This window comes from Homo sapiens, chromosome 14 (assembly GCF_000001405.40).
Source record: "Homo sapiens chromosome 14, GRCh38.p14 Primary Assembly".
In the NCBI taxonomy this organism is placed as follows: Eukaryota; Metazoa; Chordata; class Mammalia; order Primates; family Hominidae; genus Homo; species Homo sapiens.
In genome coordinates, this window is record NC_000014.9 from 64114023 (window position 1) to 64137124 (window position 23102).

Below are 23102 nucleotides of genomic sequence, written 5' to 3' on the forward strand. Positions count from 1 at the left end.
TGCTATTATTTTATTCAATTTTAGTAAGTAATTAGAATATTCATTCATCATAAATGAAACCAAAAGTATTAATTTGCAAAATTGAAGATACAGCATAAAAGGGCTTTGCAACCATTTTACTAGGAATGCCCTGGGTTTTGCTTGGGAGGGGCAGGGATATAAACTTCCTTGCCGCTAGTCGCTCTGAGTAAAGCTTGCCGGCTCAGCCCGAAGGTTGGGGTTTCTAATCCCTCCAGGGAGAGGCTAGAATGATGACATTGCAACAGCATAATCGAGTGTCACAAGAGCAGGGGCACGCGAGCTGCTTGCAAAGGCCTCTCTCCCAGCTGCACTTAGGAGACCAGACTTGTCTTTATCATATGGGCTTGTCTGCCAGGATGAAGACATCCTCTTGTCTCAGAGTTCGCATATCACTAGCCCTGCCACAGGGAGCGTTTCCTGCTGTAGCCTGTTATGTTGTTGTGGGAAGCCTGCCTTTGATCCACAGTTGTGCATTCTCCCCTTCTATGTAAGCCCATAGTCTTAACAACATCCAGGAACCAGACAGACAGGCCAGCCTCCTTTTCTGTGCATCTCGGCACCTCTGATCTCAAAAGTCAGTTCTTTTTTTTTTTTTTCGGGGTCTCACCCTGTCACCCAAGCTGGAGTGCAGTGGAGCAATCATAGCTCATTGCAGCCTCGACTTCCTGGGCTCAGGTGATCCTCCCACCTCAGCTTCCTGGGTAGCTGGGACTACAGCCCTGCACCACCACACCCGGCTACTTTTTGTATTTTTTTGTAGAGATGAGAGGTCTCACTATATTGCCCAGGCTGGTCTCGAACTCCTGGGCTCAAGCGATCCACCCAAGTCAGCCTCCCAAAGTGCTGGATTACAGGCGTGAGCTATCATGCCCAGCCCAAAAGTCAGTTCTAAAGGGATAGGTTCACTCAGATACTGGCACTGCCGCTTGGCCTGGCTGATGAGGCCCAGGGGAGCCTGTGAATGCCATAGAGCGTCATACAGCACAGAGCAATGCTATGCTAAACTCAACTCGAGGCAGTCCAGATTTTGAGTCCCACCCACTTAAGGCCATTCAGGATTGATTTGCCAACTGATTATCTACTGACTGGGTAGACCCTATGCCAACTCGTTGATTATCACCAGAATCCCATCTTCATTGCCACTTGTAGTGAGTTCAAGGATTTCCAGGCTGCTCAAGGAAAAGACATGACTACCAGGTGGCAGTTGCACCCAACAAGCTTTATTTGGGCAGCATTTTGGCAAGATTATGATCGTGAGAGACAGGGAAGCTCTTTACTGCAGGAGACCTTCCAGAGGCTAAGGCATAGACTGGGGGTCAGGCCACCACCCAGAGGGGGAGGAAGGCAAGGGAACTCCCAGGGGAGAGGAGAAACGGAGAGGGAACTTATGTGTCTAGCGATGTCTCAGCACAGTGGAGGGTCTCTGGGTCAGAGAGCGCCGAAGGGCAGCAGAGGCTTGGGATTTTTTTATAGCCCAGGGTTAGTCTTATCCGTGGCTGGCAGATGTTGGGTGCAGTTTTCAGGGGTATGCAAAGCAGACAGGCTCTAAATGGATTAAAATATGCTTATTTGGGCTGCATTTAAAGCCGTCAAATGTGTAAAAATTTGAGTCTGGTGCTGGCACTTTTTGAACTTACTGCTTCTGACCTGCTTTGAAGAAAAACCACATGGGGCCAACATACAAAGGCATCTTTGGCTCATTTATATAACATAACACAATAAAGTTATTATTGAAACATATAAAAACCTTAAAGTGGTCTGTAAAAACACAAAATTCCAGTGGAAAAATGGCCAAAGGACAGGAGCAAACAGTTCAGTGAAGATTATGGACCAGGAGTGGTGGCTCACGCCTGTAATCCCAGCACTTTGGGAGGCCAAGGCGGGTGGATTGCTTGAGGCCAGGAGTTTGAGACCAGCCTGGGCAACATAGTTACACCTTGTCTCTACAAAATAATTTAAAAAAAAATTAAAAAATAAACTAGCTGGGCATGGTGGTGTGTATCTGTAGTCCCAGCTACCTGGGAGGCTGAGGCACTAATATCTCTTAAGCCCAAGAATTCAAGGCTGCAGTGAGCTATGATTGCACCACTGCATTCCAGCCTGGGCAAGAGAGTAAGACACTGTCAAAAAAAAGAAAGAGAAAGGAAAGAAGGGAGGGAGGGAGGGAGGGAGGATTATGCTTAGTAATGTAATATTTGAGAATTGTTTAATTTTGATTATTAAAGACATAAATTAAAACAGCTGTCACATTACATTAAAAAAATATCATTCTGGAAAAATAGATACTCTAATGTCTGGTAGTTCTATCTAATTGGCTCAATGTTTTGGGAGGTCAGTTGTCAACATATAAGCTGTTCATCTTCTTTGAGTTAAAAGTACCATTACTTTTTTTTTGAGGTGAAGTCTCGCTCTCACCCAGGCTGGAGTGCAGTGGCACAGTCTCGGCACACTGCAACTTCTGCCTCCTGGGTTCAAGTGATTCTCCTGCCTCAGCCTCCCAAGTAGCTGGGATTACAGGCATGCACCACAGCATCTGGCTAATTTTTGTATTTTTAGTAGAAACGGTTTCCCCATGTTGGCCAGGGTGATCTCGAACTCCTGACCTCAGGTGATCCACCTGCCTTGGCCTCCCAAAGTGCCGAGATTACAGGCATGAGCCACCGTGCCCGGCCAGTACCATTACTTTTAATTTACCTTCTGAAAATAATCCCAAATGAGAAAAATAATTATAGAAGCATTGATTACAAAAGTGAAGAACTAGAAACAAAGGGGTAACAAGAGGGAAATTGGTAAGTGAATCATGGGATATCAACTTGTAGCTGTTAAAATGAAAATCATGAAACGTGTGGAGACAGATGAAAAAGTATGTAATAGTTAAGTGGGAAAAACAGAGCATAAAATTATGCTACATTTTGTTTATAGCCACTGTACAGTCTATGGGTACATATTGTTTAAACTTAGAAGAATCTATAGAGGACATAAGTAGAGTAGTCCCACCTTTGTCTGTGGGGGTTGTGTTACAAGACCCCCAATGGATGCCTGAAACCGTGGATAGTACCAAACTCTGTGTGTATTATGTTTTTTCGATCTGACAACTGAGATGGCTACAGAGTGAGTATCCCTTATCCCCAAATGCTTGGAACTAGAAGTATTTTGCATTTGGTTTTTTGGGAGGGATTTTGGAATATTTGCAAATACATAATGAGATATCTTAGAGAGAGGACCCAAGTCTAAACACTAAATTAATTAATTAATTTCTTTATTTATATTAGAGTTAACAGGGTCTTGCTCTGTTACCCAGGCTGGAGTGCAGTAGCATGATCATGGCTCACTGCAGCCTTGACCTGACGGGCTCAGGCAATCCTCCTGCCCCAGTCTCCGGAATAGCTGGGACTACAGGCGTACACCACCATGCCTGGCTAATTTTATTTTTTGTAGACTCAGGGTCTCACTGTGTTGCCCAGGCTGGTCTCAAACTCCTGGCCTCAAGTGAGCCTCCTGCCTCAGCCTCCCGAAGTGCTGGGATTACAGGTATGAGCCACCATGCTAGGCCTCAATTTATGTTTTATCTATACCTCATATACATATCCTGAAGGTTATTTTATATAATAACTTTAATAATTTTATACATGAAACAGAGTTCAACTGTGACCCATCACATGAGGTTGGGTGTGGAATTTTCCACTTCTGGCATGGTGCATAAAAAGTTTCAGGTTTTGGAGCATTTTGGGATTTTGGATTTTCAGATTAGGTATACTCAACCTCTACTAAGTAACTAATGAGCCGAGTGCTGGAGTATGAATATGCTGGACAAAGGGATGATTCACATCCTGGGCGGGATGGAGCAGGATGGTGTGCAATTTTATCACGCTACTCAGGTGGTGCAAAATTTAAAATGTATGAATTATTTATTTCTGGAATTTTCCATTTAATATTTTTGAGCCCTGATTGACTGCAGGTAACTGAAACCACAGAAAGTAAAAGCATAGATAAAGGGGCCTGTTACAGCTTGCTTGGATGAAGGAGTTATAGGATAAATTATTTGCAATTTTGTTTTAAGAATAGAGTTCGTCCTTAAGGAAAATTTTTAATTCCTTAAATTCGCTCAATGAATGGAACTTGTTCTTAGTCACGCACCGAGTTTTAGTACAAATGATCATGGTGCTGGAATGTGAGTTTGTCTGTTGCTGCTGACGTGAGTGCCCAGCCAGCTGGCATGACCGAGCAGGCTGCTGAGCCCCAGGAGAGGGCAAACTTGATCTGTTGAGCAGGAATACAATGACCGAGACTTACTGGGAAACTTACTTCATCCAGCTGATATATTTTTAGATTTGTGTGAATTGGCCGGTTGTATCAATAACTAAATATTTCAGGTTCCAAATTATTTCTTCTATGGTGTTGTGAGAGTTTGGAGGCTTATTTGTCTTGAGAAAGAGAAGGAAAAGAGCAAGGGAAATAATTTTCAAACAGTTACGTGGAATTCTTTTTTAAATTCCTACTCCACACTTGGATTGCAACATAAAAGATTAGGAAGGTAGGCGAGGCATGGTGGTTCATGCCTGTAATCCCAGCACTTTGGGAGGCCTAGGTGGGCAGATCACGAGGTCAGGAGTTTGAGACCAGCCTGGCCAAAATGGCGAAACGCCATCTCTACTAAAAATACAAAAATTAGCTGGGCGTGGTGGCGCACTCTTGTAATCCCAGCTACTCGGGAGGCTGAGGCAGGAGAATTACTTGAACCTGGGAGGTGGAGGTTGCAGTGAGCCGAGATCACACCACTGCACTCTATCCTGGGCAACAGAGTGAGACTCCGTCTCAGAAAAAAAAAAAAAAAAAGATTAGGAAGGTAGGGGGAAAATAAGAATATCTGCACTTTTTAAGCACAGATGTATCAAGCACTGGCCAAAGTACATGGATTTAATTCATTCACTCCTGATAATGACCTTAGGAGGTGAGTTCGGTTATTATCTTCATTTTACAGACTACTAGAGGCACACTCCTCTAAAGTAAGGTGCCTGTGTTTACACATCTACTAAGTGGTAGGACTGGGATCTGAAACCAGATAGTCTAGTTCCAAGATCTGTGTTCTTAACCACTATCCTCTGCTGGATACATTCTGCTATGTTTTGTAAGGCGACTATAGAGTCATTTACTTAAATTATTTTACAGAGTGACATGTGTAATTGGGATTGGTTTGGTTGCATCCCTACTGAAAAGTACAAGAATTCTGTGGAAGTTTTTGTTTTTCCAGGGTTTCTTCCATCCTGTGTTTCTGGGACTTCTTGTATACACTTAAGTAAAAAGAGTAAGTCTTAACTTGTTTGCAGGCACAATACTTCTTCAAGAACAACATTATGAATAATTAAATGCTTTTATTTCCTAGGCTATGCTAACAGAGATTGAGCACAAGGTTGCCTTTCTGTTAGAGACTTGCAAAGATCAGGGCCTGGGAGATAATGGAGCCACTCAACATGAGGCTGAAGCGCTTTCCCTGAAACTGAAAACAGTGAAGTGCAATTTAGAAAAAGTCCAGATGATGCTTCAGGAGAAGCACAGTGAAGATCAGGTAAAAAATGACTATCTATGGACATTCATCTTGATACACATATGTGGCAGACCTGCCAGAAGAGAACTCTGGTTGGAAGTGATGAACCAGCTACAGAGAAACTGTACTAAGTGTGAAAGAATTTCACACATTAACACCATAGATGAGTACACTGGCTTGTTATTTTTATTTCATTCTACTTTGCAGTTTTCCTGTCTAGGTTGTTGTTGGTGATGGCGGTGGTTTGGTTTGTGTTGGTTTAATGTAGCTGAGTGTTCTTGTTGGCAGTGAGGTCTAGTGTAAGGCTTCTTCGTAAAAGAAGGATGTATTATAAAGGAATTTTGTGACTCTAATTGACTGGAAAACAAAGCTTTCATAGATGTGACTAAAATTTGACATCAGAAACATAAACCTGTTTCCAGGATACTTTGTTATTCATTTGCAAGTATTTATATATATAATCAAAGTATCATATAAAGTGTTCTCATGATTTTTAAAAGCACTCTGTGTTTATAAATGCAAATGTGCATCTTATGAGTAGATCTTACTATAAAAGATTTGCATGTGCTTATGAGTGGTTCCTACTTAGAGATTTATGTTCACAGAAATAAGACTGGCTGCAGATACATAGGCCATATGGTTCCCCTTTCATCCTAATATGTTCTCTCTTTTTAAAAAAAATGTATTTTAGCCATAGGGGAAATTTGAATTTATAATACTGTTTCTCTTTTTGGTACTTTTTTATTTGGTATTTGTTTTTAAGAAAAAAGGCAATACATTTTCTTGCTTTTAGTAATTCATTGGATGAATTAGCTTGAAGAAGTAAGATGATCACTTCACCAAATGTAGTAGTTTTTGAAGTTGTTATGAAATAGGTACATTAAATCATAGTAGGCTGGGTGTGGTGGCTCACGCCTGTAATCCCAGCCCTTTGGGAGGCTGAGGCAGGCAGATCACCTGAGGTCAGGAGTTTGAGACCAGTCTGGCCAACATGGTGAAACCCCGTCTCCACTAAAAATACAAAAATTAGCTGGGTGTGGTGGGCACAACTGCAATCACAGCTACTTGGGGGGCTGAGGCAGGAGAATCCCTTGAACCCAAGAGGTGGAGGTTGCAGTGAGCCAAGATCATGCCCTTGCACTCCAGCCTGGGCAACAAGTGCGAAACTCCATCTCAAAAAACAAAAACAAAAAATTATAGTATATAATTATAGCAAATAACAAAATACCATCATTTATTTCATGTAAAATTTTTCTATGTAGTCCCATTATTAGAATTGAGATAAAGTGGAGTTTATTTTTAAAAATAAATAGCCTGCCATTATGAAATGTTTTGCAGCATCCTACCATTCTAAAGAAATCCTCAGAGCCAGAGCATCAAGAAGCTCTCCAACCAGTTAACCTTTCTGAATTGGAATCCATTGTAACTGAAAGGCCACAATTCAGCAGACAAAAAGATTTCCAGCAGCAACAGGTAATTCTAGCCCCCAACAGTTGTAGGGACTAGAATATAACTTTTTAACCAGGCAAGGTGGTGCAAACCTACAGTCCTAGCTACTTGGGAGGCTGAGGTGGGAGGATCACCTGTGGCCAGGTGTTCGAGGCCAGCCTGGGCAACATAGCGAGACCCTGTTTCAAAAACCAAAAAAAAGGCCAGGCACAGTAGCTCATGCCTGTAATCCCAGCACTTTGGGAGGCTGAGGCAGGCAGATCATTTGAGGTCAGGAGTTCGAAACCAGCCTGGACAACATGGTGAAACCCTAGCTCTACTAAAAATACAAAAAAATGAGCCAGGCATGGTGGTGCAAGCCTGTAATCCCAGCTACTCAGGAGGCTGAGGCACAAGAATCACTTGAATCCAGGAGGCAGAGGTTGCAGCGAGCTAAGATCACACCACTCTACTCTAACCTGGGGTGATAGCGTGAGACCATGTCTCCAAAAACAAAAACAAACAAACAAAAAAAAGCTTTCTATATGGAATTTCTGCAAAGTGTGGCATGTGGGTGTTTGTGTGTGTGCAGAAACTCTGAGAGTTTTCAGCATTTACCATAGCATCTGCTTTGCTTTCAGCTGCTAACACTGGGGACACCATAACTTTGCTCCTTTATTAACTTACATCTTATATCAGCTGTCTTCAGGGTGAACTTCTGTAGTTGCGACTCTGCTTTGCCTGTCTTTTCAAAATGTGTTTGTATGTCTTTGATGATTTTCCATGTATGCGGTTTAAATAACAGTTATTGTGTGAATATTTTAAATAGGTTTTTGGGAAGTGAGAGTTTACAAGAACAGGAATGCAAGAAAGAGAAATAGTAATTAATGATTTAGGAACTGGCTCAAAATTAGATTTATCTCAGCAGAGGAAACTAGTGGGTACTAATCGAAAAGCTTGATGGATTGGACCATTTGAATCTCATTCAATTACAGGTTCTGGAGTTAAAACCAATGGAACAGAAAGATTTCATCAAATTCATAGAATTTAATGCTAAGAAAATGTGGCCCCAGTATTGCCAACATGATAACGATACAACTCAGGAATCATCTGCAAGGTAAAACATTTAAAAATAGAGTTGGTCATTCAGTGGTTTTATGACTGGGAGAATTAAGAGTGTTTCTTTTAAAAATTGCTCATAGAACTGTGAATGTAATACAAAATGTTTAGTGTTGATTATTCTCTTCACCTTTTGTTCTTCTTCAAAAGCAACCAGGCATCCAGCCCTGAAAATGACGTTCCAGACTCGATCTTGTCACCCCAGGGCCAAAATGGAGATAAGTGGCAATATCTGCATCATGAACTCTCATCAAAAATAAAGCTCCCACTCCCTCAGCTTGTGGAGCCTCAGGTCAGTCTGTATCTACATGGTGCAAATAGCCTGTTTATCTTTGAAAATCCAACAAGCATTCATTAAATAAACATGTATATTCTCCAGAAAGCAAAGTTGCCAAGTGAGTTTTTTACTTGGCTGATACATTTTCTTGATCTTGGAAACCTGCATTAGGAACCCTTCCTTTGTGCTTCTGTAGCACCCAGGGCTTCCCTCATCAGAGCTGTTATTTATAACAACTATCCGCCTGTTTGTTTATAGTCTGTATTCCCCATTAGATGGGGAAGAAAGACAGATCATGTCTGCCTGGTTTGCATTTGAGTGCCAAGCACCGTACCTAGGACATCACAGACTCTCAGTTACTGTTTGTTGAATGAATAAAGGAATGAATATGTATTTTAAGAAACACTTGGCCAGGCGCGGTGGCTCACGCCTGTAATCCCAGCACTTTGGGAGGCTGAGGCAGGTGGATCACCTGAGGTCAGGAGTTCAAGACCAGCCTCAACATGGAGAAACCCTGTCTCTACTAAAAATACAAAATTAGCTGGCCGTGGTGGTGCATGCCTGTAATCCCAGCTACTCAGGAGGCTGAGGCAGGAGAATTGCTTGAACCTGGGAGGCGGAGGTTATGGTGAGCTGAGATCGCGCCATTGCACTCCAGCCAGGGCAACGAGAGTGAAACTGCGTCTCAAAAAAAAAAAAAACACTTTAAAAACTATACAGCGCTACAATGAGTGTCATTCATTCATCAGAAAATTCTTTGGAATCTACCATGTGCCAACGCCTGTGCCGATGGCACTGGCCAATCGGTGTTCCCTGTGATTGGCCCTCCTTATCACTGCCGTCACAGGCTCTATCAGGCTGGCTTGCTGTGTCAGTCACTACTGTCTCTCTCCAGACAGGGAGCAGGTGAGCAAAACAGCCCCACTGCGCACAAGGCAGGCTTCTGCCTTCCACCACATACTCACATTGCCTGGGCAAAGGTTACCCGTGATTTCCCAATTTCCCAGTCTGATAGGACTTCTCAGCTGTCCTCTTTCCCGCTAAGGACCTTATTTGACCAATTAAAGTTCAATCAAACTCATCAGTTGGCCCTTAACCTTGGTTTCTCCATATTACACTGTAACGTGTACATAGGTCTCTTGCAAACAGGAGAACTCCACTCATTATTAGTTCTTTCCCCAAGCAGAGTCATCTACCACCTCACCCTGTTTCATTTTATTTGTCAGCTTTCCAGTTTGAGAAAGGAGCTAATTCTGAATCATTCACCCTTCTGAAATCACAGCTCATTTTCAGTACTTATTTAGCTTTTCAATAACAAATCAAGATGCAAACCCATCCCTTAGAAGAGACTTGAATTCTATTCTAATAGTTGGCTGTGTCAAAAGTAAACTGGTAAATAAGCAGCTAGCCCTGTAGCGTGAATGTTGTTATTACTAAACTGAAAGATTAATGATTTCACACACACACACACACACCACCTTTTTTTTTTTTTTTTAAGAGACAGGGTCTCAGCTAGGTGCAGTGGCTCACGCCTATAATCCCAGCACTTCAGGAGCCTGAGGCGTGTGGATCACCTGAGGTCAGGAGTTCAAGACCAGCCTAGTCAACATGGTGAAACCCCATCTCTACTAAAAATACGAAAATTAGCTGGCCGTGGTGGTGGGCACCTGTAATCTCAGCTACTTGGGAGGCTGAGGCAGGAAAATTGCTGGAACCCAGGTGGCAGAGGTTGCAGTGAGCTGAGATTGTGCCATTGCACTCCAGCCCTGGTGACAACAGCGAGACTCCGTCTCAAAAAAAGAGACGGGTTCTCGCTGTTACCCAGGGTGGAGTGCAGTGGCATGACCAAAACTCATTATAGCTTTGAACTCCTGGGCTCAAACGATCTCCTGCCTCAGCCTTCCGAGTAGCTAGGACTACAGGTGTGCAGCACCATGACCAGCTACTTTAAAAATTTTTGTATAATTTTTTTTTTTTTTTTTTGCAGAGAATGTATCTTGTTATGTTGTACAGGCTGGTCTTGAACTCCCTTGCACTCCTGGCCTCTAGGAATCCTCCCACCTCTACTTGCAAAGTACTAGGATTATAGGCATAAGCCACTAAGCCCAGCCTTTCCTCTCATTTTGATATCTAAATGAAACCTCAAGTATCTAAATATAACTAGTCATGACTTTTCAAAGCTGTCCAAAATATTAAAACTTAATTGTTTTTTCTTATAAATGGCAAGATAGACAAAAATGTTCACCAAGAAAGTGGCTCAGAAGACAGCATGCTAAGGCATCTTTTTCTATTTAAATTAATATCAGCAGGCTGGACATGTTGGCTCATGCCTGTAATCCCAGCACTTTGGGAGGCTGAGGCAGGTGGATCACCTGAGGTCACGAGTTCAAGAATAGCCTAGCTAACATGGCAAAGCCCCGTCGCTACTAAAAATACAAAAATTAGCCGGGCATGGTGGCAGGCACCTGTTATCCCAGCTACTCGGGAGGCTGAGGTAGGAGAATCTCTTGAACATGGGAGACAGAGGTTTCAGTGAGAGGAGATCATGCCACTGCACTCCAGCCTGGGCGACAGAGCAAGACTCCATCTCGAAAATAAAAAAATAAATTAATTAACATCAGCAGGGTCTAAAACTGTCAGTAATAGGGTTTTCCTTTGTCAAATAGGTTTCCACAAATATGGGTATTCTACCCAGCGTGACTATGTATAACTTTAGATACCCAACAACTGAAGAACTGAAAACCTATACCACCCAACTTGAAGACCTGCGCCAAGAAGCAAGTAACCTTCAGACACAGGTAGAAGCTGCACACAATGTGTTTTCCTCATTGTAATAACATAAACAAAGGAGATATCATCATTGTGACTTGGTCATAATTGTCGTCACTGAACAAGTCATGGAACACATAATGGAATGGGTCCTAGGATTGCAAATTGAATTGATCTTGCTTGCCAACTCTAATATATTTTGTAGTGGTTCCCTAGGGACTGTGTGCAAAGGATTCTGAGTCCAGGATCAGCAGGAAAGAGGATCATGATTGATGAGTGCCGTCTGCAGTGGTGATCTGGGATTGGAAGGGTGAAGAGGAGAGTAGGGAGGGAGTATAGGCATGGTTTTCAACCCTGAGCAGACTTAATACTGAGGTAATTAATGCTAGGTTATGTGAGGTGTCTATCAGAGAAGATAGTAGGAGACAGGGCCCAAGTTGGAGTGATGACTAGCTATGGCATGCTCCTAAACTACTTATAACTGTTCAAGAATTCAGGGTAACTGTGGGTAAAGAAAAAGAGGTGGCCCCAGCAGCTTATGCTAAAACAGATCTGTGGCTCCCAGACTCACCAGGCGCAATGCATGACACTGGGGACGTGCTTGGAGTCATACACCTAAGCCTTGATTCTCACAATCGGCTCATAAATGACACTTTCCCCCTCCTCTGCAGCCTGCTCCTGTTTTTAAGACACTGTACCTCCTCTTTGTAATCAACCCCTTCAAGCTTCTCTTTTGTGACTTCTTTTCCTTCTCCCAGCTATACTTGATTTCATTAACCGCTTTCTCCTACATTAGAATGTGGAGGGTGGGAAACAGTGGTAAAGGAGACAGTGTAATTTATCTGGGACCACACTTTCACCTGGATCGCCCTGCTAAGGGATCCTTCATCTCATGATTTACCTTTTAGTTCCATGCAGTACTCAAATAACTACCTAACGTTGAGCTTCTTAAACTCATTTTTCTCCAAGTTTAACATCGTAAGTTTATTTATTTGTTCTGCTACCTAGTTCACAAAGCGTTTGAAGCAACTTATTACAAAAGAAGCATAACATAAATCATAAACTATAATGGAAACTAGGCAAAATATAGGTCTAGGAAGGCAAAGGTATCTTAATTTTCTTTTTCTTTTTTCCTCTTGATTCAGGAAAATATGACAGAAGAAGCATATATCAATTTGGATAAAAAATTGTTTGAACTATTCCTGACCCTCAGTCAGTGCCTCAGCAGTGTGGAGGAGATGCTGGAGATGCCCAGACTTTACAGGGAGGATGGTTCTGGCCAGCAGGTGCACTACGAGGTAGGGCACTTCTCACGAGCCCATGTGTTGGCCATTACAGCAGCCCCGTGAGTTAAGCCCACGTGGAAGCCTCTTGAGGTCAGAGCTCATTCATTGTCTTCCTTCCTCTCCACTCCAGACGCTGGCTCTTGAGTTGAAGAAACTTTATTTAGCGCTAAGTGACAAGAAGGGTGATCTTTTGAAAGCCATGACTTGGCCTGGCGAGAACACCAACTTGCTCCTTGAATGTTTTGACAACCTTCAAGTCTGCCTGGAGCACACTCAGGCTGCAGCTGTCTGTAGAAGCAAGTCCCTGAAAGCTGGCCTCGATTACAACCGCAGTTACCAGGTATGATTCCGAGCACACAGCCTATTTTGGCACTGTTTTAAGTTACAGCATGAACCCCTAATGCCTATTCCTATTCCTGGTGACATTTGTTAATAAGAATTGCTAAGGGAAATGATGAGACTCTTCTGTTTGTTGCTCATGGTTGGAGATCATTTGAAAGTGAAGCCCTGGCCGAGTGCAGTGGCTCACGCCTGTAATCCTAGCACTTTGGGAGAGGCCAAGGCAGGCGGATCACCTGAGGTCAGGAGATTGAGACCATCCTGGCCAACATGGTGAAACCCCATCTCTACTAAAAATACAAAAATTAGCCGGACATGGTGGTGTGTGCCTGTAATCCCAGCTACCTGGGAGGCTGAGGCAGGAGAATTGCTTGAACCTGGGAGGCAGAAGTTGCAGTGAGCTGAGATCACACGACTGCACTCCAGCCTGAGCGGCAGAGCAAGACTCCATCTCAAAAAAAAAAAGGTGAAGCCCTTTAAAGTCTTGACCGAGCGTAGTAGCTCATGCCTGTAATCCCAGCACTTTGGGAGGCCTAGGTAGGTGGATTGCTTGAGCCCAGGAGTTCAAGACCAGCCTGGGCAACATAGATCCCATCTCAAAAAAAGAAAAAAGTAAAAAAATAAAAAATAAAAAAAGTAGAGTCTTGAGTAAGAATTTGTTAGGATGAGCTAAAATAATGTTTCATTTCTTGTATTACATTTAGCCATTTAACAATTAAAATGGTGGGGCGGGGGAGGCATTTGTTTTTGTTTTTCTAGCTAGAGGGAGCCATTAAGGTTTTTGAGCTAAGGAATGACAATCCGTGTATGTTTCAGGTAGATTCCTCCAGCAGTTGTCTAAAGTGAATTGGAGAGGCAGAGACTCCAGGCAGGTAGAAGAGTTAGGAAGCTACTAAAATTATCTAATGAAAAAGAAATGAAACCCAATACTATTTATGAATGAGGCTTGCCCATAAAAATCAAGCCTGAATCTGACCAAGCTGCTAGAATCCAAGTAAAACAGACACAAGAAAAGAAGAACAGGTTAAACAGCACACTGGGAGTGCAGTCTGCCAAATCCAGCCTGTGGGAAACTGTACTGAACAAATGACCCATTTTTTCACATACACACATTCAAGAAACAAAAAAAGTGGTCAGGGATTCTGCAGGTTAAGAGAGATCTAAGATGTATTTATCCATCATGACATGTGGACCTCATTTGGATCATCATTGAAACAAATCAAAAAGAAAAATTATAGGCAATTAGGGATATGTGAATTCTGTCTGGATAGTTAAATCATATTAAGGAATTATTATTGATGGCAGGGGAGGAGTATGTTGGAGTAAAGAGAAGGATCTTTATCTTTTAGAAATATATACTGAAACGTATACTGATGAAATGACTTGAGACCTGGGATTTGCTTCAAAATAGCCTGAAGGAAAGGAGATTAGGTACAGTTGAGAGCTGGAGGGAGGATGTAGAGGGAAGAAGGTCAGCCATGAATCAATAATTGTTGAAGTTTAATGATGATAAAATGGGGATTTCTCTATTTTTGTATTTGTTTGAAATTTCTAGTGTCACAAAAATTATAAAAACCAACTAAATATAAAAAAAGATAATGAAGGCCTAAATGAGATTGCTCAGTTTCCGACATTTATCTTACAGAATGAAATAAAGAGATTATATCATCAGCTCATTAAGAGTAAGACATCTTTACAACAGTCTTTGAATGAAATCAGTGGGCAGAGTGTTGCTGAACAGCTTCAGGTAATCAAGTCAAAATAATTCAGACTGACTTAACTTTGAACCACAGAGCTTTGCATATAAGCCGTGCTTCTGAACTACTTTCCTTTGTGAGCAGCAGCAAGGCTTAAGTAAATAAATAAAAAATGAGAACTATTTATGTTGACTTTTTAAAAACATCTCCTAATTTTCTGAAGCACAATGTATTAAAACAAAAGGAGGCCATTTTCACTTATCAACCATGACAAAATGTGTATGTCCAGTGTTGGTAAGGGTATTGGAAAATGAGACCCTCATCCTCTTGCCAGGGGAGCCCTGGGGATCCTTTGTCTGTATATCAGAATTTTAAACATGAATACTCTCTCTTCCAGCAATAATTTGACTTCATGTATTTAGCAAATATTAATTGAGGATCCACTATGTTCCAGCACTGTTTGAAGTGCTGAACTTGTACTCCTCCTAAGGATATAAGACAAGTGCATAAAGATAAATATTTTGGCCAGGTTGGTGGCTCACGCCTGTAATCCCAGCACCTTGGGAGACTGAGGCAGGTGGATCACTTGAAGCCAGGAATTTAAGACCAGCCTGGCCAGCATGGCAAACCCCATCTCTATCGAAAATACAAAAATTAGCCAGGTGCAGTGGCACACGGCTGTAGTCCCACCTACTCCGGAGGCTGAGGTGTGATAATTGCTTGAGCTTGGGGGGCGGAGGTTGCAGTGAACTGAGATTGTGCCACTGCACTCCAGCTTGGGTGACAGAGCCAGACTTTTGTCTCTAAATAAATAAATAAATAAGTCATAAATATTTAAGGATGGACCCAGCAGCTCTGCTTGAATTAAAAACTGTATATAGCCCAAAAGTCCATTGAGAGCTGACTGATAACAAAAGCAGGGTACACCCTTACAATAGCATGCTGTGTGTCTGTTTCGAAGGAGCTAGATATGTGTATACCAATGTGAAGAGATGCTGAAGAGCTGGTGAGTGAGGAATGCTAACCGCAGGACAGAATGCTGTGGTGCAGTTCATTGAGTTTAGGGATATGCATGTCTACCCCTACTGGTATGGAGCATGTTAGGAACTTGGGACCTCTGGCAAGATTGTTAAGGAGAGCAGGAGGTGAGGGAGCGGGAGCTGGGATTTTTGCTTTTCCCTTCATCCCTTTCTGTACTATTTAATTCTTTTTAGATAACTATGTGTACTTCTCTGACTTACTGAAGGGTTTTCTTTTCTTGTATTGTCTCTCACTTAGAAAGCAGATGCATATACAGTGGAGCTGGAGAACGCCGAGAGCCGAGTGGCCAAACTAAGAGATGAAGGGGAGAGGCTTCATTTACCTTATGCTTTACTCCAGGAGGTTTACAAATTAGAGGTATGCCTGAGCAGAAAACATTGACTCAGCACTGTGATTGTGAGGAGCCAGATCCTTTTCTTCCACCAGCAGAGTTTAGATTTGTCTTTCAGTTATTGCCCCGGTTGGATGAAAATGCATGTGTGCACCTGCTCTTCTCTTTTCAGGATGTACTTGACAGTATGTGGGGAATGCTAAGAGCCAGGTACACAGAACTCAGCAGCCCTTTCGTCACTGAGAGCCAGCAAGATGCTTTGTTGCAAGGCATGGTGGAACTGGTGAAGATTGGGAAGGAAAAGCTTGCTCATGGCCACTTAAAACAAACCAAAAGTAAAGTGGCGTTACAGGCTCAAATAGAAAATCACAAGGTGAGACAGACACATGGGTCGGGTGACCCCTTCATAGACTAAAATCTTAAGGTATTTCTGAATGTGAACAGAAAGGATCCATTTTTCTTCTTTGTTGAAATTTAAGCTATTCATTCTTTTAATAAACATCTATTAGAATGCTTAATGTGTACCAGGAACCCTGGTACATGCTAGGAATTTGGGTTATGAGTAAAAACAGACACAGTTCCTTACATTCACAGAGCTTTCACCTGATTGAGAAGATAGATATTTATCAACAAGTCTTCAAACAAATTTAAAATTAAAATGAGGATACATTCTATGAGAGCATTTAATAGCAGAAGGTGACTTAGGAAAGTTAGAAAAGGCTTTCCTGGCCATGCGCAGTGGCTTATGCTTGTAATCCCAGCACTTTGGGAGGCTGAGGCGGGTGGATCACCTGAGGTCAGGAGTTCGAGACCAGCCTGGCCAACATGGTGAAACCCTGTCTCTACCAAAAATACAAAAATTAGCTGGGTATGGTGGCAGGCACCTGTAATCCCAGCTACCTGGGAGGCTGAGGCAGGAGAATTGCTTAAACTCAGGAGGCGGAGGTTGCAGTAAGCTGAGATCACGCCCCTGCACTCCAGCCTGGCGACACAGCAAGACTCTATCTCAAAAAAAAAAAAAAAAGAAGAAAAGGCTTTCCTGAGAACTAGAATCAAAAGGAAAGTGTGTTATTATGTAGTATAAGACTATAGTAAATCCTTTGATTTTTAAAATTCATTTCATTAAACAAAAACTTCTTGATCACCAACTAAAGATAAAGAGTAATCTAGGTGCTGATAATTAAAAATGTGTAGGACGGTTCCTACCTGAGGTAAGCTTATGGTCTAGCATTTGGAAGGTAGAGCTTAGTCTAAGAAAAATTGAAAGGTAAATATTGTATGAAGGATGGAGGGGAAGAGGAGAAAATAATATTGATTATCTGCAGTGTGCTAGGCCCCTTGCTAGATGCTTTTATAAACGTCTCTATGTATATGTCCTTTTCAAGGCTTAGGAGAAGGGATTCACATAATATGGAGGGATCCCTCCAGACAACTGTAAATGGAGAAGAACCATGTGAAATAAAGCCTTCCTCTTGAAAGGTTCTTGAAGTTCAAATACAAATACAGGAAGCTTTATGTCCAGGATTCCTATAAAGCAGCAAATTCCCTTTATTTAGTCATTCTCTTGAGTAGAAGTTAAAGCCAGGGTTAAGGAGACCTGTCTTTCGAATATGTGGGTTGCTTGAGTTTGCACATCTGTCCATCCAACTTGTCTTGAAATTCATCAGCCACAGTGACATCTGTTTTTTGTTTGTTTGTTTTTGTTTTTGTTTTTGTTTTTTTAAGAGACACGGTCTCACTCTGTATTCCAGGCTGGAGTGCAGTGGTGTAATCATAGCTCATTGTAGCCTCGAGATCCTGGTCTCAAACAATCCTCTCACTTCAGCCTCCTGAGTAGCTGGGACTATAGATGTGTGCCACCACACCTAGCTGGCATCTATCTTTTTGTAGCATTTAGACTCAAAACAACTGATTTAGAAAGATCTATCTGGAAATTGAAATTGACAAAAATGTTTGTCATTTAAAATGGATTATTTAGTGGAAAATAACACCTAAGGGTAATACTTTATAATTTGTTGAAGTTCCACTAGTGTTCAAAGACTGAGTTTTTTTGTTTTTTGTTTTTTTTTCCTTTTTGAGAGGGAGTCTTGCTCTGTCACCTAGGCTGGAGTCCAGTGGCACAATCTCGGCTCACTGCAACCTCCGCCTCCCGGGTTCAAATGATTCTCCTGCCTCAGTCTCTCAAATGACTGGGATTACGGGCATTCACCACCATGCCTAGCTAATTTTTGTATTGCCATCTTGGCCAGGCTGGTCAATTTGACTCTACACGGATGTCCTGGGATTTTGGATTTAAAACAAAAATAACTGGATATAAAGTTGAAGTAACTTGGTTTTTAAGAGTTTTCACAATTTCAAAGTAAATATTAAAACTTTCTCCATCTCATAGGTTTTTTTCCAGAAGCTTGTTGCTGACATGTTGTTGATCCAAGCATACTCTGCCAAAATACTTCCTTCTTTATTGCAAAACAGAGAGACATTTTGGGCAGAACAAGTAACAGAAGTTAAAATACTAGAAGAAAAGTCACGCCAATGTGGTATGAAGCTGCAGAGTTTGTTGCAGGTATTTGGGTTATGTAAACGTTGTACTGAAGCTGGGAATTGCTGATTTTCCATCACCACCCCAGGTGTTGAGAAGAAGTATCTAGTTATCATTAAGCTATAGTTAAATGGAAGCCTGACAGTGAGGAATGTGGACCCCTGCTCAGGTTCTGAGGCCGCTCCCTGAAGGAAAAGTTGGCTGGGATTTCTCATACATAGATTGGGGATGGTACTGCGTCTCTCTGCCTTTTAGGTTCATGTATGAATAAGCAAAACGATAAGCACTTTGAGACCTTGAATGAGATCATTTGGGTGAAACAGTTATTGGTTTAAAAACTGTACTTCTTCAAGAGAACAGGCCCAGATGTCCTAAAATGGATGACAATCTTGTCTAAACTCAAAGAAAAAAATAAGCATGCATAAAGCTCCTTCTCAGTTTTGAGGCATTCCCCTCACACCTTTCATAGCCAATGTTAGTACTTAAAGGAAATAAAATAGGAAGGAGGCCGGGCGCAGTGGCTCACGCCTGTAATCCCAGCACTTTGGGAGGCGGAGGGGGGCAGATCACGAGGTCAGGAGATCGAGACCATCCTGGCTAACACAGTGAAACCCCGTCTCTACTAAAAATACAAAAAAAAAATTAGCTGGGCGTGGTGGTGGGCGCCTGTAGTCCCAGCTACTCAGGAGGCTGAGGCAGGAGAATGGCGTGAACCCGGGAGGCAGACCTTGCAGTGAGCCTAGATTGCACCACTGCACTCCAGCCTGGGCGACAGAGCGAGACTCTGTCTCAAAAAAAAAAAGAAAAAAGGAAGGAAATGTTTAACTTGATAGTGTAATATGGTGTTATTTTTTTTGCTAACAAAATTTATTTTCTAGTTAGTGTGTCAAGTTGATATTTATAATATGTCATGGTATTTTTTAAAAAAGACTCCATGGACCCAGTGAGTGTTCTATAAAAGCCAAGTGAGCCACTATGTGAATAGATATGGAAAAGAGTGAGGTGGTTCTTTTCCTAACAGACAATGTTTGGAGTCAATAACTCAGCTCTGTGGTGTGTTGGGGTCCTCGGGGTGGGCATCCATGGAAACGGGGCAAGCTAAAAGATGACAAGACTAGGGCTAAGGCAGTTGTCCTCCCCTGATGAAGTGTAAGCCTATACTCCTCAAAGACACCTTGAGCAGACCTATGCTGCAAGTGGCATGGGGGTTTGGTGGGCTTGGGCGTGGGCTTGGAGAGCAGGAGCAGCCTAATAGCTTCTGTTGAGTAAGGGTCTAAAAGTTAGCTCTTTCCCTTTCCTAATAAGAGAAAGGCTCTCTTGTGGCTCCAAGGTCTCTACGGAGTTGCTAAGAGTATCATTTTAACTTCATTGTATTACTCCTTTAGTCATGTTACCCAGTTTGACAAGACAAGCATAAAACACTAAATGCCAACTCAGATTCTTTTTAAACCTTGTCCTCAAAGGTGATGGAATTCTTTTCCATTAGATGCTGAGCGCTTACCAGGGTGGGGTTACGTCTCTCGAACACACCTGGAATCTGTGCTTTAATTTTGTATGGTCTTGGTGTTCATTTTTGTTTTGTGATTAATTATGTTGTTATCTGGAACCAATCTGGTAAAGGGCTTCCACTAATTTTATGTCCTTGATTCTCTAGAAATGGGAAGAATTTGATGAAAACTATGCATCTCTTGAAAAGGACCTGGAAATTCTTATATCTACATTGCCCTCTGTGAGTTTGGTGGAAGAAACAGAGGAAAGATTAGTGGAAAGGATTTCATTTTACCAGGTATTTGTCTTCCATTTAAGTTATCAAAGGCGTGTCCATAGCACTTTGTGTTTTACATTTGTTTTGACTAAGTGGCTTGATTTGGAAGGTTTGAATTGAAACAAAATGTTCATCATACAACTCACTGTTGAATGTATTCAGGGAGACTACAGATTTGAATGTGAACTCCTTAGCATAACCACATGTCTGGCTTGGGGGAGAGGACCTTGCTTGAGTCGTGGCTCCATCACTTATCACTTCTGTGACCTTGCTGTCCCTAAGCCTCAATTTCTTTATCTGTGGAATGCAGATAATCGAGCCAATTCTACCTGTCTCTGGAAGTGAATGCCAGTGAGCTACTAGTATGGAAATGAGCTGAAGAATGGAAAGAACTTTGTCAGCCTTCGGCCTCTAAACATATATTTCGTTTTATTCCTACAGTGAAGTCCTGACTAGACGTAGCCCATAAGACAGACAATAATCTTACCTGTCACCAGCATTATAAAAACATCTCAGGCCGGACACGATGGCTCACACCTGTAATCCTAGCACTTTGGGAGGCCAAGGCAGGTGGATTGCCTGGGCTCAGGAGTTTGAGACCAGCCTGGGCAAAATGGTGAAACCCTGTCTCTACTAAAATACAAAAAAAAAAAAAAAATTAGCTGGGCATGGCGGCATGTGCCTGTAATCCCAGTTACTTGGGAGGCTGAGGCAGGAGAATTGCTTAAACCTGGGAGGTGGAGGTTGCAGTGAGCCAAGATCATGCCATTGCGCTCCAGCCTGGGTGACAGAGCGAGACTCCATCTCAAAACAAAAAAACAAAAACCCTCAAACTTTTAAACTTTTTTGTGTAACTTTTTGCGTTGTTATCATCTGTCTCTGTGTCTCTAATTTTGGTGCGAAAGAAAAGATAAAACCTCAAAATAGTTTTCAAGTGACATTGAGAACATGACCAACAAGATAAAAACAAGTTTTAAGTCTTCTCACCAGGAACTTAAAATTCCTAGTTTTAACTTTAGGATATATGCCGTCAGAATCTGAGTTGTGCGGCTAGAGGCAGTTATGAAATATCAACTTTAAAACCTCAAAAGCACATTTATTGCCTGAATGAACTAGTTGGAAAATGAAAGCAGGAAATAATTCCAGGGTTCTCTTTTCCATGGAGGTATTTTAACCTCTATAAGGAACATTTTCCAGAGGCTGGGACACTGTATTTATACTCCCTAGATGCCTGGAAAGCTACAGTTGGTCTCATTGCCGCCTTATTAATTATATTGAGCCTAACTCTAAGGTAAATCTGAGTCCTCTGGGGTGGGTGGGAGTGGGGGTGATGAGAGTACTGTTTAGCTCTTTGTTAGTCTAGGGATACAGAAGGTATCATCTAAACAGCTGAAAGAATGCAGATGAGAACAGTATTTTAAGGCTTATTATTTTAAGCAACAGTCTAATATTAGCCAACCTAATATGAGTGTGATTGTTTTCTCCAAAAGTGACCATATCTGTTAAAATGTGTGATTCTATTACATTTGAAATATTAAAAAGAAAAAAATTGTTCTAAGACTTTTAAATAAATTTGCCAGACTAAAGAAGACATATCCTGTAAAGCCCATCTCACATATGGACTTCATAGGCCATTCTCAGTTCAGAATCAAGGAAAGGTTTGTGTGAGTCTGACAGATGTTGTCATCTTGATCAGCCGTCGTCTGTGGGGCATGGAACCTAGGAGTCAGTTGTCTGGCCTTTGAAGTCAACAAACCTGTGTTCAAATGCTGGCTCAGCCTAGTTACTCGTGCACAGACTGTATCCCATGCATACAATCGGTGAATTAGGCTGGGCGTGGTGGCTCATGCCTGTAATCCTAGCACCTTAGGAGGCCGAGGTGGGTGGATAACCTGAGGTCAGGAGTTTGAGACCAGCCTAGCCAATATGGTAAAACCCCATCTCTACTAAAAATACAAAAATTAGCTGGGTGTGGTGGCACGTGCCTATAATCCCAGCTACTTGGGAGACTTAGGCAGGAGAATCGCTGGAACCCGGGAGTCGGAGGCTGCAGTGAGCTGAGATAGCGCCACTGTACTCCAGCCTGGGTGACAGAGCGAGACTTCATCTCAAAAAAAAAAAAAAAAAAAAAAAATTGGGGGGTGAATTAAGACTTTTCAGAGATGTTTTAAAGGTGAAGAATCTAGCACTTCACTTAGAAAATTAGACTGATTTTTTTTTCTTTTAATACAGATGCTCAGACACGGGGGGGAGGGGATTACAAATGGGAGTGGTGGAAAGGGCTATGGACGTGGAATTTTTTGGTAATGATTTAAAAGGCTTAACTTAATTTGAAAATAGCAAACCTTCTGTTTTGTTAATAATTTATTTTTTAAGATTAAACAGGTGTCAGGATAAATGGCATTAGCTGAATCCAGCTGTGTTAGATAATTACCTTTAGACAGACTTCTCTTCAAAGAATTTCATTTTTCTTTCCGTGAAGTTGGATTAATGATACGCTGTTTTAATTTATTTTTCTAAAGTTTTCTTCCTTTCTCTCTACTGAATCTTTATATTCAGTAGAAGACCCTGGAAATGAATTTTTCTGCCTAGTATTCGCATCTCATGGATAATAGAGAAATACTATTTTATTTATCCTCTTCATATCTAAGTCACCATCTGAAGTGCTTTCGGGGGCAGAATAGAAATAAGGAAACCCTACTGGCTCTGCAATCAGAGGGGTGGTGGGGACTGAGCCAAGGGAAAAGGAGAGGGAGTAGGCTCTCCTAGAGCCAGCAGCTGCTGCTCAGTTACAGCCGCCCTTTGCCACATGAGATGCAGACCAACAATTGCTAGGTCTTCCAGTTTTCCCACAGACACTGGCAATCCTGATTATTAGGTAAGATTTCCTGATTTTTCAAACTGATCTTAAGGTCACACAAAACCTATCTGTGAGCTCAGCATGG

The 23102-nt window shown here is 42.0% G+C and overlaps 1 protein-coding gene across 29 annotated transcripts in view, besides 2 other annotated features; it reads left to right on the forward strand.

The window, feature by feature from the left end:
- Positions 1-23102, forward strand: part of SYNE2 (spectrin repeat containing nuclear envelope protein 2) — a 464854-nt gene that overhangs the window by 352427 nt on the left and 89325 nt on the right. For 28 of the 29 annotated variants that reach the window (XM_047431152.1, XM_011536576.3, XM_047431149.1 and 25 more), the window contains 12 exons: positions 5405-5587; positions 6905-7039; positions 7990-8111; positions 8264-8405; positions 11057-11188; positions 12305-12457; positions 12576-12785; positions 14430-14531; positions 15760-15879; positions 16026-16226; positions 18243-18416; positions 20047-20178. In XM_047431152.1, the coding sequence (XP_047287108.1) occupies positions 5405-5587; positions 6905-7039; positions 7990-8111; positions 8264-8405; positions 11057-11188; positions 12305-12457; positions 12576-12785; positions 14430-14531; positions 15760-15879; positions 16026-16226; positions 18243-18416; positions 20047-20178 (1806 nt within the window). Of the gene's footprint in view, positions 1-5404; positions 5588-6904; positions 7040-7989; positions 8112-8263; positions 8406-11056; positions 11189-12304; positions 12458-12575; positions 12786-14429; positions 14532-15759; positions 15880-16025; positions 16229-18242; positions 18417-20046; positions 20179-23102 lie in introns of those variants that run through there. The other variant, XM_047431159.1, reaches the window with a different exon arrangement.
- Positions 1088-1383: a transcriptional cis regulatory region, noted in NCBI's record as "silencer region targeted for CRISPR/Cas9 deletion". NCBI's record gives its function as "negatively regulates SYNE2 gene expression in K562 erythroleukemia cells {active_cell/tissue: K562}" and the evidence as "EXISTENCE:knockout evidence [ECO:0001091][PMID:32094911]".
- Positions 1138-1325: a silencer, noted in NCBI's record as "fragment chr14:64581878-64582065 (GRCh37/hg19 assembly coordinates)". NCBI's record gives its function as "represses an EF-1alpha promoter that drives an FKBP-Casp9 reporter gene in an ReSE screen, or a PGK promoter in conventional reporter assays, in K562 erythroleukemia cells {active_cell/tissue: K562}" and the evidence as "EXISTENCE:reporter gene assay evidence [ECO:0000049][PMID:32094911]".